Here is a 17778-nt window from a genome sequence, read left to right on the forward strand (position 1 = left end):
AGTGGAATTAAAGTCTTCAACTTTAATAGGCAAGGCCAAGGAATTTCACAGAATGGCTTCACCTACCAGCAGCAGTGTATGAGAGTCCTCGTTGCTCCACATCCTCACCCATGCTTGGAATTGGCAGACTTTAAAAATCTTCTTAATCTGGTCGTGTGTAAAGATATCTAATTCTGTTTTTAATTTGTATTGATCTGATTATTAATAAGGATAAGCACCAGTCCTGTACTGGAGTCAGCTCATACTGATTTTGTTGTGCTTATTCTATTAACTACTGAGAGATGTTTAGAAATCATTATGATTACTCTAATTATCATTACACGTTGTATGTGTGTACTGAAGTATCATAGGTACTTCACAAATATGTACAATTCTTTCTGTACATATTAAAATTAAAAATAAAAATGAATAAATAACAATAAAATTATTTTAAATAATAACTAAAAATAAAAAGAAACAAAAATACATCATTATTATGAGTTTGTTAATTTCTGAGAGTACTTTTTTTTACTTTACATATCTTGAAGCTTGATATTACGTGCATGCAAGTATTCTGTGTTCCATGTGTTTTAAGAAATTTAATGACATTTTTACTATCTTTCCCTGGCAGTGTGTTTTCATTATCTACATTATTTCTTTTAATAGTCCCCTAGTATTCCACCATCTCTTAAATATTTCAGTTGTTCTATTAAACTTTTAGAAAGCGTAATTTATACTCGTTTCCACTTTTTCACTAACCACATTTCACTCAACTTGTTTGATTTCCATCTCCTTGTTCTATTGAAACTGTTTTCCCCAATGCAATGCATGAGTTTTTTTTAGTTTGCTCTGATTGGAACATCTACTGTGGCCAACTAACCCCTTATATTTCCTTAAGGTGTGTCTCCAGGTTCCTATCTTGCATCCCCACTCTTTCTATTTGGATATGGTCTTTTCCCTTTTTGAATCTCTGTAGCACTCGTGTTTGCATGACTCTTCAGGCTTATACATAAATAGGCAAATGAAGCAAAGTAAGTTTTGCTTCATTTTGTCTCATGTTCTGTTACTTGTGCCTTTTTTGACAACCTGTTTCCTACCTGTAGCCTCCTTAACTGTAGAGATTGTATTTTATTTACATTTCATATCCTGAAGAGTATACTTCAGAGCCCCGAAAAAATACTAGGTGATTACTAAATGCTGGTCAAATTGAATAATGACCTTGGAAACACAATTGGAATTAACACTCTTTTCTGAATGCTTGATATCTGTCTTTTCTTGGTCTTTCCTTCTGTGCTGCACTTTGATAAACTTCTTTGAAGGTAAAGATGGTCTTTTCCTTTCTATAAATATCAAAGGATCTGCTGAGAATTGTTTTGAGAGGAGAAGGGAGAAGAGGTTTCAGAATAGTAAATCCTGGGCATTTGAATGTGAGGGCTTCTCCTAATGGAAAAAAAGAAAATCATGGATTCTTCTTATGAGAATGGTTTTACCTTTTGTGACTTTTCATTTTTGGGCTTCTAGATGTTTTCAAAATTCCCAATGTTATATATACCTTTAGAAATATAATTTCTCTCCCATTATATTAGCATAAATAATAATATTTTATAATATTCCATCATTCTCAACTTGAATACCCAAATAGCACATTTGAAACCCAAGATGTTTCAAATTGAACTCATTGGGTTTCTGCACCAACCACTCCTTTTTTTTGTTTTTTTGTTTTTTTTTTGAGATGGAGTCTTGCTCTGTCACCCAGGCTGGAGTGCAGTGGTGTTATTTCGGCTCATTGCAAGCTGCGCCTCCTGGGTTCACACCATTCTCCTGCCTCAGCCTCCCGAGTAGCTGGGACTACAGGTGCCCGCCACCATGCCCAGCTTTTTTTTTTTTTTTTTTGTATTTTTAGTAGAGACGGGGTTTCACCTTGTGTTAGCCAGGATGGCCTTGATCTCCTGACCTCGTGATCTGCCTGCCTCGGCCTCCCAAAGTGCTGGGATTACAGGCGTGAGCCACTGTGCCCAGCCTCTTTTCTCCTTATTTTTAAAATAATTGTTTATTTTCTACATCTAATGACATCTCTCCTAGATTCTAAAACTTTCCTTTTCATGTTAAAATCTCTGTAATCAGTTGCTTCTTACTATTGATGGCATGTCATAGTTTAATTAGCACCATTTTTCTTTCATAATGGTACATAAAATTATGGCATATCTGACAATTGATGTCTTAGCCCTGATAAGGTAGAGTATTTGTAAAAATGTATAGATTGCAATTCCTCAGCATTTCACCCATTTGTCTTTTTTTTTTCTTTGAGACAGAGTCTTGCTCTGTCTCCCAGGCTGGGGTGCAATGGTGCAATCTTGGCTTACTGCAACCTCTGCTTCCTGGGTTTAAGCGATTCTCCTGCCTCAGCCTCCTGAGTAGCTGGGATTACAGGTGTCCACCACCATGCCCAGCTAATTTTTGTATTTTTAGTAGAAATGAGGTTTCACCATGTTGGCCAGACAGGTCTCGAACTCTTGACCTCAGGTGATCCGCCTGCCTCGGCCTCCCAAAGTGCTGGGATTACAGGCAAGTCACCATTCCTGGCCCATTTGTCTTTTTCACCCTACACTTCTACATTATGGTTCATTTCCTCACTGTTTCTTTTTTTCCTGTTTAAAAAAAAATTGAGATAAAATTTACCATTTTAACCATTTCAAGGTGTACAACTTACTGTTTTCAAAATATATTTACAATGTTATGCAACTATCACGACTACTAGTTCTAGAACATTTCTTTTTTTTTTGAGATGGAGTCTTGCTTTGTCACCCAGGCTGGAGTATAGTGGTGTGATCTCGGTTCACTGCAACCTCTGCCTCCTGGGTTCAAGCGATTCTCGTGCTTCAGCCTCCTGAGTAGCTGGGACTACAGGCACCTGCCACCACACCTGGCTAATTTTTGTATTTTTAGTAGAGACAGGGTTTCATCATGCTGGCCAGGCTGGCCTTGAACTCCTGACCTCAGGTGATCCACCTGCCTCGGCCTCCCAAAGTGCTAGGATTACAGGCAGGAGCCACCATGCCCGGCCAGAACATTTCAGTCACCCAAAAGAGGCCCCATATGTGCTAATTCCTCCTTCCATTTAGCTTCTGGCAACCACTAATCTATTTTCTGTTTCTATTGATTTGCCTATTCTGGACATTCCTTGAAAGGGACTAATAATGCTGGAGAGTGCTGAAAATGCTGAAATGCTGAAAAGTGGTGGACATGTTAGGGCAGCAGGAGCCTAGGAGAGCCAGAGTAACATCATTTTCAAATAAGCTCTATCTTAAAACTAGCAAGGCATATTCCTTGCCAGTCATGACCTATGGTCCTAAGATGTTTACCACTAAGGAAGCAGCTTGGTAATGCCTGCAAGGACAAAGTCCTACAACAGAAAAGTCCAGATGTTACAACACCTATAACAATATATGCTTTCAAGATATAGTTATGCTTCGATGGACTTACACATTAAGATATCAAGGATAGTTTTCTTTAAATCAGTAGAATAATACATTTAGTCATGCTGTCAGCCCACCTGCACATAGGCACAGCTTAGTTTAATCTTTACATAGGCAAGACCCCTATATAAGAAAAACTTAAAGACAGTGCATTCCTCTGCTTTCATTTTGAGGATGCTTTACTGGGTGACAGAGTGGCTTTCAGTAAACTATCTCTTCTCACAGAAATCTGAGACTCACCTTGAATTCCTTCCTGGGTGAGATCCAAGAACCTTTTCTTGGGGTCTGGATCTTGAAAAGACCCCTTTCTTTTTTTTTTTTTTTTTTTTGAGACGGAGTCTCGCTCTGTCGCCCAGGCTGGAGTGCAGTGGCGGGATCTCGGCTCACTGCAAGCTCCGCCTCCCGGGTTCACGCCATTCTCCTGCCTCAGCCTCCCAAGTAGCTGGGACTACAGGCGCCCGCCACTACGCCCGGCTAATTTTTTGTATTTTTAGTAGAGACGGGGTTTCACCGTTTTAGCCGGGATGGTCTCGATCTCCTGACCTCGTGATCCGCCCGCCTCGGCCTCCCAAAGTGCTGGGATTACAGGCGTGAGCCACCGCGCCCGGCCGAAAAGACCCCTTTCTAGCATCATCTTCTGGGGACACTATAAAAGGACCTTAAGATGTTACCTAATGCCAAGGAAATTCAGTCTGCACAACACTCATTGGCCCCTCTGGTAAGTTGGGTCCATCTTGGTGTCCTCTATTAGGTTTAGGCAAAGCTGATATTCAGGTTAGAGACTAGGCACATGAGGTTAGAGTCCCTGGGGTATAATAAAAATGGAAGTAGCCTTGCAAGATCTTTGCCATTGTGTGCTTTGGATTAATCCACCTGATCCCCTTTGCCAGGTATGGAAAAGCTATAGTTCTCATCATTTTCCAGCTTGATGCCTTTGCTTTTACTGCAGCTCTATGCTGGCCTTGTATGGCTGGGCAAGCGCTTCACTACTTTCACTTTTCATGCTTGCCATCTGATTACCACATCTGAAGTTCTCTGTTTCTCTCTTTTCTTTCTGCCTGTTTTGAATCTGCTGTTATTAGGCTACTGGCATTGAGATAAAGCTTATTGTTCAAAGTTACTTGGAGATTTTGTTTTTCTTGTAGAGTTCAACCAATTCTGGCTAAAATGTGAACATTAGAAACTCATTTGAAACTGAAGAAAAAAAAAGGCAAAAAAGCTCTTTTTTAAAAAAACCAAACCCCCACCAAAGACCACTTTACCCAAAGTTTTGGTTTACATATTTCTTTGGATTACTTGTTGGATGTCTGGGTGATTTCCAATTAAGAAAGTTTATGATATGGGAAAAGATGTTTCTGAAATTGTGGAATGGTTTTATCTATAAAATGCTAACATCTGACAAATATTTCAGGATTTCCTGCTTCCTAAGTTTCTGGATTCATGGATGAGTGAGTGACCTTTGTTGTCCCTTCTCTTCCCTTTCTTGTCCCTTTTCCTTTTTGCACTCTGCTTAGCCTTCTGAACCCAAGAAGACACTGAGATACCCACGTTCCTTTTATTCCCCAGGGATTGGGGGTTAGGGGTCCCTGGTTGTTGGATCCTTTGGGCCACGTCTGCTGAGGAGCCTGGAGTTATGGGATCCTCCAGGTCGGCTGCCACCCTGTTGGACAGGGTTTTTCAGCCTTTAGGGGTTTAGAGTTGCAATGTCTCCCTGACGGATAAAGTGTTTGAGGTACAGAGAGATATTTGTCAGCACCTACTGCTTCTTGGTCCCCCTTGTCCCCTTTTTCTGTTGCATACTTGCTGTCTGTGCCTCACTAGTGATGGATGTCGACCTATGCTTGCATGCCCTGAAGTTAATAGCTACCATTTTCTTTCTGATCTTGATGATTTTTGTTCTTTGGGTTATTTAATTTGGCATCTCTCTGGACAGGATTGCAGAGAAAAGCCTCCTGGGATCTAGTCTTATTGAGAAAAAGAATCATTTTGTCAAATTCAGAAGTTATCTAAAGGTCAACTCAAATTATGAACTTGAAAATAATTACTTATGAAACAAAGTGAGAAAGAACCAGTAAGTAGGGAAGAGAGAGAGAGACATAAAGTTATGGATATGAAGATATATTTTTTGGTAACTCAGGTTATAAAGAAAAGAGAATAATTTTGCATGAAAAAGGATCTTGTATGGTAAATTTCTGTCCTAAAATAAAATGACTGATTAAGAAAAAGGGAAGTTTAGGACAAGTCAGAAAGTCCAAGCTTGCTGTAGGTGGTCTATATAAGTTGTGATAAGCTTTGTGAAGGGGAATTTATGAAAGGAATTTTGTATGTGATTAAGTTGGTTATAATTAAAAGGAAATAATTTATAATACTCTTTCTAGGGTTAGTCCCCTATGTTAAAACAAGATTTTCTTAAGGTGTTGATTTGCTCTTAATGAAATTGCAAGAAATTTTACTTTTAATTTTATAATCTGTTTCTTTTAAAAATTTCTCAATCATATCTCAGTTCAACTTTTCTGTGTCCTGCTGCTTTCAGCTTTTTCTCCCCTTGAGAAGCCTGAGACAATAACTCTCTCCTACAGCATTTTTGTTAGCTCCTGTAACTTTTTTCTTCCAGTTCTAACTGTTGTTGTGGCCTAATGCTAAAATGTTTTATGTTGCAAGTTTAGAGAAGCAATTCTTTCCTCCAGTATAATTTGATTTTGTACTCTTGGCTTTTCTTGATATGTCTAAATTTTCAATGTAATCAGAAAACTCATGCTCTTCCCAAGAGTCACATATTCCCCCGCTCTACTGATAACCTTGAACACACCTGTGTCTTGTTAAATTCAAGCACTTTTTTTCCCATCAAGTTTGACTTCCAGACTATCTAAGTGAGCTTCTCACAAGGAGAAGCAGTCATATTGCAGAAGTTCTTTTTCGACTTTTTGGTAACTGACTTAAGAAACAGGATTTCGTATTCCTATGTCTTTATTAGGTTTTCAACTGCTTTTAAAAAACTTGGGATTTAAAAGGGCTAAAGTTTTTACATCCATATGACCTTCTGTAGGTTCTCTTTAAAGTCTTTTAATTACCAATTTGGTTAAATGAGTAACTATTATTTTACAGTGACCTGTGCTTCTGTTTTTATCAAATGTTTTAAGCCTTCATCATTTTTAACAAACATCCTCACAATTAAACCCTAAATGAAGTCTGACTAATTGCTGGGGATTATTAAAGCTATCAAAACTAATCAAACAAAGTTATAAAATCTTTTTACAGCTTCCAGTCGGGTCATGGACTTCATTATCACCATCTCTAGCTCCCTTGTAAAAGGTTCTTATCAGGTACTATTAATTAATACTGTGCTATTAAGTTACAGGGCTTTGACTCCTTAGTACACATATGTTAGCTAAAGAAGGCACTGACTCATGCAAGTATCTGACATCAAACTCAAGTTAACCAAAGCCTTGTCTCTGGACCTGGGCAAAGGCAACAGAGTAAACAGCTTTCATGAAACACAGGGACAGGCCTGTATTAATAACCATTAAGATTTATTTAATAATTTTGCCTTTACCTGAAATCATCCTTATGTTTTGTTTTACCCCCAGAATTTGAAACTATGAAATCCTGCCAGGCCCAGAGACTATCACATGAGATTGTAAAGGCTGGTTTTGAGGAGTAAAATTAATTCAGACCCTCCAAATCAAGGATGGTACACAGATTCCTAAATAGCTGAACAAAATGCTGTGATTTGTATAACTAATTGCTAAAAGCCCAGATTGCAGTAGGTTGATGCATAGAATTTATAGATAAGTCAATTTCGTAACTTTGCTTTTTGGCTTTTGGTTTTGGGATTTATTTTGCTTAAAAGAGGTGTTAAGGTTAATGAATGTCTACTCACTTCCATTCCCATCTGGCCTAGTGCATTAGTTGGCTGTAAGTCTTTTGACTCTAAGTCCCCTAGCCATAGAGTTTCCAGCAAGGGCCATGATGGATCTGGGACAGATAACACATCTTTGGGACATGATAACACACATTCAGCATCAATATGGGACAAAATAAAAGCTTGGCATACCTTGACAAAAAGGACGGAATATAAATGTAAAAAAATAAAATAAAATCCTAAGACCCAACAGAATGGACCCCCTCTTGATGAAAAGAAATAATAATAATAATTTTAAAAACCTTTAAAGTGTAGTTTAGGCCATGAAGGGAAGCTGGGGGTCACATATGTCTCACTATACATCTCCCCCACCTGGAATTCAGGCACAATCGACGAGCATTAACGTTGAAATAGTGATCATAAGATTGACAGAACAGACCCTTCCATTCTTAGGTATTTATTTATTTATTTTTAAATTTTTGATAGTTTTTGGGGAAGCGGTGGTTTTTGGTTACATGGATAAGTTCTTTAGTGGTGATTTCTGAGTTTTGGTGTACCCATCACCCAAGCAGTGTAGAGTGTACCCAATATGTAGTGTTTGGTCCCTCAACCCCCTTTCACCCTTCCTCCCAAATCCCCAAAGTCTTTCTCATGCCTTTGAGTCCTCATAGTTTAGCTCCCACTTATCAGTGAGAACAGACAGTATATGGTTTTCCATTTCTGAGTTATTTCACTTAGAATAATGGCCTCCAACTCCATCCAAGTTGTTGCAAGGGCCATTATTTCATTTTGTTTTATGGCTGAGTAGTATTCCATGGTGTATATGTTCTACATTTTCTTTATCCACTTGTCGATTGATGGGCACTTAGGTTGGTTCCATATCTTTGCAATTGTGAATTATGCTGCTATAAATGTGTGTGCATATGTCTTTTTCACTACTGACTTTTTTCCCTTTGGATACTGGGATTGCTGGATTGAATGGTAGTTCTACTTTTAGTTCTTTAAGGAATCTCCACACTGTTTTCCACAGTGGTGGTACTAGTTTACATTCCCACCAACAGTGTAAAAGTGTTCCCTTTTCACCACATCCACACCAACATTTATTACTTTTTGATTTTTAAATTATGGCCATTCTTGCAGGAGTAAGGTGGTATCTCACCGTGCTTTTTAAAAATTTTTATTTATTTATTATTATTATTATTATCATTATTATTTTTGAGATGGAGTCTCGCTCTGTCACCCAGGCTGGAGTGCAGCGGTGTGATCTCAGCTTACTGCAACCTCCACCTCCTGGGTTCAAGTGATTCTCCTGCCTCAGCCTCCCGAGTAGCTGGGACTACAGGTGTGTGCCACTACACTCAGCTAATTTTTGTATTTTAAGTAGGGATGGGATTTCACCATGTTGGCCAGGCTGGTCTCAAACTCCTGACCTCAGATGATCCACCTGCCTTGGCTCCCCCAAAGTGCTGGGATTACAGGTGTGAGCCACCGCGCCCAGCCGGAAAAGATTCTTTATGGCAATAAGATGTCAAATTATAAACAGGATCTAAGACCATGCCAGGTAAGGGTTAAGTCTCCACCCCAAGTAAACAATGTCATATGTTACATGCATGTTCATTCAATATACATGCATCAGGACCACGTCCATAGATATTCATAGCTCCCCTGTTCAATGAGGGGACTTAGTCTTATTAAAAACTTGGAAAGAGGGAATCCCTCAAAGATTAATTACAACCCAAATGGAAGGGCCCCTATCAGGTTATTTTTAAGCACCTCCACTGCTGTTAAATTTCAGTTGAATGACTAGCTGAGTACACATGTCCAAAATTAAACCTGTTTCTTGAGTCCCTGCAGGCACCTGAGAAAATCACAACCCACACTTGCGAACCCCTAGGAGACCTAAAGCTGTGGTTTTACAAATAAACAGATAAGTAACATTCCTACTCTTTCCTATAGGTACTCAATCTTCTTAACAACTCCCATCCCACACAGGTTTGCATCCCCAGCAGATACATATGGCTATGTGGTCACCCATTCGATCAGCCTATAAAAGACTTGTCTTATTTGATATTGTGAAACCCATGGTTATCAGTGTATATGAAAATGTTTGGTTCAGGGGTCAATGTACAATATGACAAGCAAAGTCCTCTAATACACAGTTATATAAAATCACTCACCTGAGAGCCAAGTGGACAATTGGCCTTATATTGGCTGGAGTTGGAGCCCCAGAGGGAAAATTTGCCTATTATTAGGCAACTCTTCAAAACTTTACTTATTCGTTTCTAAACACTGTCTCATAAAATGGGGGATGCTTTAGATGAATTAAGATTAGCACTAGATTACTTATTCGTTGAAAATTAGCACTAGATTTCTTATTGGTTGAACAAGGAGGAGTGTGCACCATAATCAATATAACCTGCTGCAGTTATGTAAACACCTCAGGTCACATAGAAGAAGATATACAGAAAATACATGAACAAGCTGTGTGGTTGCGTAAATATAACCAAGGCACCAATCCCAACTGTATCTGGTCAGCCATTAGAAGCACCCTCCTGAGTCTCACTTGGTTGTTGCCCTTCCTAGGAACTTTGATAGTTGTCTTATTATTAATCTTTGGCCCTTGCTTGTTTAAATTCTTGGTAAAGTTTGTGTTTTTTAGATTACAACAATTCCACATAAAGATGATACTGACACAAAGCTTCCAATCCATCCCGTCTTCTGAACCGGGAAATAAAGACACCCTGCCTTTAGGTGTCTTTAGATCTAGATCAGGCATCTAGAGATTTTTACTCCTCCAATACTTGGCAGGGTCTATGCCCGTAGACTCATCAGGATACCATGTAAATGAGGACCTCCCTTGGTACCCCAGAGGCCAACTGTAGACCCTTATGAGAAAATCCTGTCCCCAAAATGAACATCCACTGTCAGCAGGAAGAAGTTACAGAAGACCAGCCTTTGCCCTTACGATTAAGGGTCCTCTTGTAAGTAGAGAGGGGAATGTTAGGAAAGCAGGAGCCTAGGTGATCCAGAGTGACACCATTTTAAAATAAACTCCACCTGAAAACTAGCAAGGCATCTGCACACATCTGTTTAGCAAGTATATACTTCTGTAACTGGAATAAAAAGCGTTATTTTAGAATATGCCTATAGTTTGTAATAATTAGCCGAGGGAAAAAAAGTTCACATTGGTGTAGGAAAAGTGCCCTAATGGTCATGGGTAATAATGGGACCGTGGTTCTGGTCAGTGATTTGATGGAAGGGGTGTAGATAATATATTGTTGTAAATAATAAAAATAAAAAATTGTTGTAAGTAATAAAAATAAAATAATATTGTTGTAAGTAATAAAGTAGGAGAAATATTTGGTCTTTTGCTTTTGGGTTAGTGCAACAGTAGTACCATTACTTGGAGGAGAAGTTAGAGAAGGACAAGAATAGGCTTGAATAAGATGAGTGAGAAGAGAGAAAAATTCCGTAAGTGGAGATGGCCAGGGAACACCAGGGCAGCAGAATCTAACTCTGAATTTAATGCTGTTGTCTGTTCATATTGCACTGCGCTGTAATCTCCCTATCTTTCCTAAACCATTGGCAAAGTCTGCTATCCACTGGGGCCTTGGGTCGGTGGTGCTTTGGGAAATACCAGAAGAGGGAAAGTACGGCAAATGTGCAGTGTCACAGATGATAGGAGGAAAGCTGGCCAGTGGGATGATTAAAACAATTTCGGTGGGAGTGGGAATTCAGACCATGTAAATGGTCTGAATTAAGAAAATTTCAAGAAACAAAAAATGTTTCTAATGAGCCAAAGTGAAAGCTCTTCATGATTTCTTTATAGAGGCTCTCTAGTGCTTGTCCTAATTTCCTGAAATCTCATGGGTATCTTACTCTCCTGGTGCCCGCCTCAAACATTCACTGTAGCAATTATATGAGCAGCCTAGAGAATCCCAATCCCAGTGGTCTTGCTCCCTGGATCTACTTTCTCTTAAAAATCATTCCCCTAAGTTTCCGTCACTTGGTTGAAGTTTAGTAGATATCTCCACATCTCCAGCTAGAACAGCACCAGAATTTCAGGACTAGGGCAATAGAGTCTGATATTAAATTCTATTTCTATCTATCTATCTATCATCTATCTATCTATCTATCTATCTATCTATCTATCTATCTATCTATCTACAGAACAATTTGTGGGATAGTAGCTTTGGGGTCCCAGATCTAGGATGGGCCTGGTCCTCCATGCTGGTTCTCCTGGGTGATATTTCTGTTAGTTTGAACAGTAATCACACTTTTATTACTGTTTCATCTTTTTTTTTTCACTCTTAGACTGATTTTATCATGTGTATAAAACATACACACACCTACATCTCAAGGATAAACATTAATCCTTGAAAAATATGTGGTCTAAAACTATATTGAGGAGAGAAAGATAGGACACTTTAATTGCCACATGATTAACACGAGGTCACCACACAGCTTTCACAAATCTACAAGTCATTCTATTTAGGCTGAGTCAAGTTCTCCCTTGGGCCAGCCAGAGCACAAATAATGGAGCAATGTGACTCTTCAATGACAGATCTCTGATTTCCAGAAAAGAGACTTTGAAATACCCAATTCTAGTAAATATGCAATTAAATTTCCAGCTAAATGACCTTTGCTCCTGTAGTCTTCATCTTGGGGAAGGGAAAGAAGTCTTATTCTGTTTAATAGTTTGATTTTTATAATAGGGTTTGTCTCTGTTATAAATCTTGTTTGATATTTAAAATGTTAGCTAAGAGAAAACTTCTGTTTGTTTTTATTTAGTGGGAAGAAACTAACCCTCATTGAGTGCCTAGTTAACATCAGGCACTTTGTACACATAATCAATTGAATCTTGACCACAACCCTGTGAGGTAAGTATTATGTACCATATTAACAAATAAGACAACATGCTTACCCCGTTTGATCTTTTCAGTGTTTGTTAGGGAAGCAGAGGTTTGATTTGAAGTCTGTTTGATTACAAAGTTCATGTTTGCTGTCAAATTGCTGATCTTGAAAGTTTTAGGATGTTCGATGAAATTTGGGCTTTGTAGTCTCCCCTCTCTTGCTGTTATCTGTAAATAGAACTTTGAGAAATTGTTCAGTTTTATGTTTGAGAGATTGTTTACATTTGAGATTTTGTACTGTTATTGTTGTAAAGTTAATGGTTACTCTATCGGATTACTACTTTAGGTCATAGTTAGAATGCAGGAAAAATATTTTTTCATCATTAGATGAGTATCTGTAAGTCAACAATTCATACTAATATAATTATTTTAGTATTGAGATACCAGGCAAATATAACTTTTCTGTATTACTCAGATTTTACTTAAACATTACCTCTTCAAGGTGGGCCTCCCTAAATCTCTCAGACTAGGTCAGGACCCTGAGTTACAAGCCACCTATACTTTTCCTTCATAGTACTTTAAACTTTTATTAATACTTTCAAAATTTGGTGGGCTCACTTTTATCTCAGTTTCATCTTGCGATTTCTCTGGGATGAATATAACATGCAAGACTGAAGTGCACTTGCAGAATAGCAGGGAAACGTTCACAGAATGGACCTGAGCTGCCCTGAGGCAGGGTCAGTGTAATGGGTTATTCCTCAAGAAAATGAAGGTCAGAGACTGGAAGATAATGAAGAAAGAGACACTGAGTTGTCAAACATCGCATATGTTTTATTGGATATTAATGAAATACGAAATGAGTGATCATATGTCAAACACCTTCACATTCTGCTAGTGGTAGAAACAAAGCACAGTCGTCAAATCAAATAAAAAAACCTAAAAGCCAGAGAACATAGCTCTAAAGACAATGAATGCCATATTTTCTAAAAGGCTTAGTACAAATATAAAAATATCTAAGTATTTTATACACACACATTGCTATTTTAGTATTTACAGTTTATCTTAGGACTATACTTTCAGAGTTCATTTCTACAGTTCGTTACAGCTTACCTCGAAAACTAAAATCTGCTTTCCAATCTAAAATAAGTCTACCTTTTCATTCTGGCTTGGAACAGCCAATAATCTTTTTCTAATATTTACCACAATTTGTAATCATCTATTATTTGTGTGTTTATGTGTTTAATGTCGATTCCCCTTATGAGACTGTAAGCTCTGTGAAGGTAAGGACCGTGTCTGTTCTGTTCAAATCATGTACTCAGTGCCTCCCTACTAATAATGCCTGACCTACTGTCATTTTATAGACTACTTGTTTACTGAATGTGGAGTGACTAGGGCCAGGAACGTCTGCACACTGAGCCAGCTTGAAATAATGACAGAATAAATTTGGCCTCTGTAGCATGAACGTTAATGTTGCTTAAAAATCTTTCTTGTTGACCGGGCTTGGTGGCTCATGCCTGTAATCCCAGCACTTTGGGAGGCCGAGATGGGCGGATCATGGGGTCAGGAGATCGAGACCATCCTGGCTAACACGGTGAAACCCCGTCTCTACTAAAAATACGAAAAATTAGCTGGCCTGGTGGCGGGCGCCTGTAGTCCCAGCTACTCGGGAGGCTGAGGCAGGAGAATGGCGTGAACCCGGGAGGCGGAGCTTGCAGTGAGCCAAGATTGTGCCACTGCACTCCAGCCTGGGCAACAGAGCAAGACTCTGTCTCAAAAAAAAACAAAAAAAAAAACACCAAAAACCCTTTCTTGTTAAAAATCGTTTCCTTTAATCTTAGATCTGCATTTAGTCATTGTACGTTTTGCAGATCCATGGATGATTCTGGGTTTAGTTCTTTGTGAGACTGCCAGAAACTCCCAGAGGCTGGATCTATGCATAAAGAGAGGCCATTGGAGAGAATGTCTACTGAATTGCTGAAGACAATTGCTACCGAGAATAGATCGTAACTTAGGAAGAAACAATTCAGTACCAAAAGAGTAATTGGAGCCCTTCTGGAAAACACTAGTAAGGTACCTCAAGACTTGTAGATGCTAGATAAAAATAGCATGCTGTTGAAGACTTTTAAAGGCCTAATTTTACGTTGTGCACATGTACCCTAAAACTTAAAGTATAATAAAAAAATTACATAAATAACGTTTGTTATAGATGTAAGTTAGGGTGGTTTTAATCTATCTTCCCCAGGTAAATAACTGTATAATTATATTTTGATAATGGCCAGCAGGTCTTTACATTCTTCAGGTTTTCTCTTCCAGATATATGTACTATCTCTTGGTCTATAGATGGCACTCTAGCTATCAGGATACCATGAAAAAAAATCTGGGATATTGGAAAGGGCACATTTTTTTTTGAGGTCATCAGGGTGCTCAATGCAAACCATGGTTGAACACTTAAAGATGTCCAGTAGCTGCTTGAAGATTTCCTGATAAAGAGCTACAAGCACCATGTTCTGCCAGCAGTCATAGGCACTTGGATTTTCTCTCTTCAGATTTAGCTTCTTCTCCTTTTGTCAAACTGCCTGGACAGAGATGCAATTGCTCCTGGTCCTAGAGTCTGTCCACAGCCCTCAACTTTCTAGTTGTTATCTCCCCAGAGATAATATGAGTTGTAATCTTCCAAAGATGCTAGATGTCTAGAATCATTTCCAGAATGCTCCCCGGACCATCATAAAAATAAAGCACCTGCTAATTCCCCCCAGGACTCAAGTCATGCCTGTTCATGTATCTTCCATTCAATTTGCAGCATATCTGTGGTTTAGGACAGTCTTTCTCGAGTGATCCATAGTGAAGGATGACTTTTTGTTTGTTTTATTTTCAGTGTATTGTGGACTGGTACTTTGTGTAAAATATAATAAAATTAGTTGTTAGAAATGTAAAATCGTAAATAAAAACAGACATACAAAATACAAACTGCATTTTTTATTAGTAGATTCAAAAGACAAAATTACTCTGCCAATGTGCTATAGTAGTTTCTTTTCTGACATTTAAAATTCAGATTAAACTTTATTTAAATCAGAAACACAATTCTTAAAAATTGCATTTAGAGTCAAGATCCCTTTTATAACCCTCTTGTTATAAAAATCAGAAGGAATATTTGTAAGTAAAGCAGATATCTCTCTAGGTTAATGAGACCAGATTTGACTTTGGATTTTGTACTTTAAATAGATTCTAGAAGATAGATGAAAAAATATGTTATTTACAGAAAACCGCATCTACCTGTGTATTCAGAGGCATAAATTTTTTGATGGAAATGACTTCAGTACACGCTGGAATCTCAGAAGCAATTTTCAAAGAGCTTAGTTTTATTTTCTTGGATTCTAAGAATTTCTAAAATCCTTTTTCATCCTCAATTTTGGGAGCCAAATAATACTTTAAATGTTCCATATCCGGCAATCTTATACTCTACAGCAAGGGGTGCATCTGCAGACATACTGAGTGTTACTGGGAAGAGAGAGTGGAGTGCCTGTTATAAAGAAATTTAAGTAACTTAGTGCAAAAGTTAGCTGAACTGGCCCATTCATCATTATGGCAACAGCCTCCTCTTCTTTATTGTAATTACTTGTTTGTGGCAATGTTTCCATGTCCAAGTTCTCCATTTGCAGAAAAATTCACTCCATCTTTTGCACAAGAAATTATAGCAGACTCTCCAATATGACTGAGATCTTGGCATATATGAACAAATTCACTAGAATGCATCTTTATTACACAGCTGTACTCTTGTTCTGGAATTTCAAGTTGCTCAACATCTAGAGTCATTAACTTCAATTCACAGTCTAAAAGTTCTCTTGATTTAGTGCTTCAAATTCTAGCACCAAGAGATCCATAGTACCTTCAGCCCTCCATGTAGTGATGTCTTCACTGCCATTGTTGTATTTTAGCATTTTGGACATGCTGGTGAGGCTCATGCTCATGGCTAGGTTGTGGTCACAGTGGTATGTGTTGAAGCCCTGGTCACACAGGGTTAGCTGCACTAAGGAAATGTGTGATACTTTCATGCTGTGTAGGTTCACCTGCTTGAACTGTTGTCCCAGCAGGCCTATCTCTCACATTGAATAGGGCTGACTGTGCAACTAATAAGATGTTGTGGAGATGACAGTGTGTGACATCTGAGGCTATGTCATAAAATACATTGTGACTTCTCACTGTTTCTGGGAGAAGTCAGCTTTCATATCACAAAGACACTCAAGCAGCACTGTGAAGAGGCGCAGGTGGTAAAACTGAAGACCTTCACAAACAGCCAGCACTAATTTGCCAACCAAATGACGGTCTTTGGAAAACAGATCCTCTGGCCTCAGGCAAGTCTTCAAAGACTACAGTCCCAGTCAACCTTTCACTGCAACCTCATGGTAAACCCCGCACTGGTACATCAAGCTGCTCCTGAATTCCTGACTCACAGAAACTGTGAGAGAATAAATGTGGTTGTTCTGGGACACTAGGTTTTGGGGTAATCTGTTATGCACCAATAGATAACAAATAGAGACCAGTACATAAATCAATACATTACTTCCATCTGTGTGATAGGTGTTATGATAGAAGTAGAATACAAGGTGTGGTACAGACAGAGCGGATCTGAAGTAGTAGCCTGTTGTCTTAGTCTGTTTTGTGCTGCTATAATGGTATTTCACAGACTGGGTAATTTATAAAGAACAGAAATTTATTCTCTCACAGTTCTAGAGGCTGGCAGGTCTAAAATCAAGGCACGGTCAGGTTAGGGCTCAGTCTCTCTGCTTTCAAGATGGTGCCTTGAGCACTGCATCCTCCAGAGAGGAGAAACATTGTGTCCCCACATGGCAGAAGAGCAGGAGAGGAAAGGAGACAAATGAGAATTGGGCTCACCCTTTTATAATAGCATTAATTAATTCATGAAGGTGGAGCCCTCATGAGCTAAACACCTCCTTTTAGGTTCTATCTTCCAACACTGTTGCTTTGGAGATGAGGTTTTCAACAAGTTAGCTGAACTGGCTCATTCATCTTTATGGCAACAGCCCCTTCTTTATTGTCATTACTTGTTTGTAACAATGTTGCCACTTCCAAGTTCTCCACTTGCAGAAAATTTTACTCCATCTTTTGCACAGGAAATTGTAATTTTGGGGACATATTGAAACTATGGCATCTACCAAATTAGTAACTCTACCGAGGGAATGCTACAATTCAAGTTTTCATGTTTTCCACAAGCCTGCTATAAATTATTACTTGTTGATTACAAAATAATCAGCAAAATACAAGTATTTATTCCTTTGTACATGGAAGCAACCAAACACTTTTTTTTTGGAATGAAGGTCTACAAGTGATGACAATCTATATTTGTCTTCCTGGTTAAGTACAACTGTAACCAGGGGGGTGGACTCTTGAATTCATGTTTCTCTTTATTTTTTCAATGTTGAGAAGGTAACCAACAATACATGTGGCCAAATAAAAAGCTTTCACATAAAACATTTCAAAAATTTTTAATTCATTGATCCTCTCCTTCCCTCACCCCCAATAAATTTTTTAGTTAACTGGGATGCCTCCTCATTCACAGAATGAAGGACCCATGCTAGCATTTGGGTTA

The 17778-nt window shown here is 38.6% G+C and overlaps 1 long non-coding RNA gene and 2 pseudogenes across 2 annotated transcripts in view, besides 5 other annotated features; 1 reads left to right on the plus strand and 2 right to left on the minus strand.

Moving 5' to 3' along the window:
• The window catches only part of LOC100507053 (uncharacterized), a 212500-nt gene that overhangs the window by 56526 nt on the left and 138196 nt on the right, over positions 1-17778 (plus strand). Inside the window, exon 3 of the long non-coding RNA NR_037884.1 lies at positions 9163-12197. This is a non-coding gene — a long non-coding RNA (uncharacterized LOC100507053). The remainder of the gene's footprint in view (positions 1-9162; positions 12198-17778) is intronic.
• Positions 11836-12401: an enhancer, noted in NCBI's record as "4E3 fragment". NCBI's record gives the evidence for it as "EXISTENCE:reporter gene assay evidence [ECO:0000049][PMID:20363298]".
• Positions 12081-12121: a protein binding site, noted in NCBI's record as "FOXA site 4". NCBI's record gives the evidence for it as "EXISTENCE:protein binding evidence [ECO:0000024][PMID:20363298]".
• Positions 12202-12240: a protein binding site, noted in NCBI's record as "FOXA site 3". NCBI's record gives the evidence for it as "EXISTENCE:protein binding evidence [ECO:0000024][PMID:20363298]".
• Positions 12247-12277: a protein binding site, noted in NCBI's record as "FOXA site 2". NCBI's record gives the evidence for it as "EXISTENCE:protein binding evidence [ECO:0000024][PMID:20363298]".
• Positions 12302-12341: a protein binding site, noted in NCBI's record as "FOXA site 1". NCBI's record gives the evidence for it as "EXISTENCE:protein binding evidence [ECO:0000024][PMID:20363298]".
• On the minus strand, positions 15211-16265 carry PCNAP1 (proliferating cell nuclear antigen pseudogene 1; annotated as a pseudogene). The gene has a single exon (NR_028270.1). The product of NR_028270.1 is annotated as a proliferating cell nuclear antigen pseudogene 1 (transcript).
• PCNAP2 (proliferating cell nuclear antigen pseudogene 2) lies at positions 17172-17308 on the minus strand (annotated as a pseudogene).

The sequence above is a fragment of the Homo sapiens genome, chromosome 4, assembly GCF_000001405.40.
Source record: "Homo sapiens chromosome 4, GRCh38.p14 Primary Assembly".
Classification (NCBI taxonomy): Eukaryota; Metazoa; Chordata; class Mammalia; order Primates; family Hominidae; genus Homo; species Homo sapiens.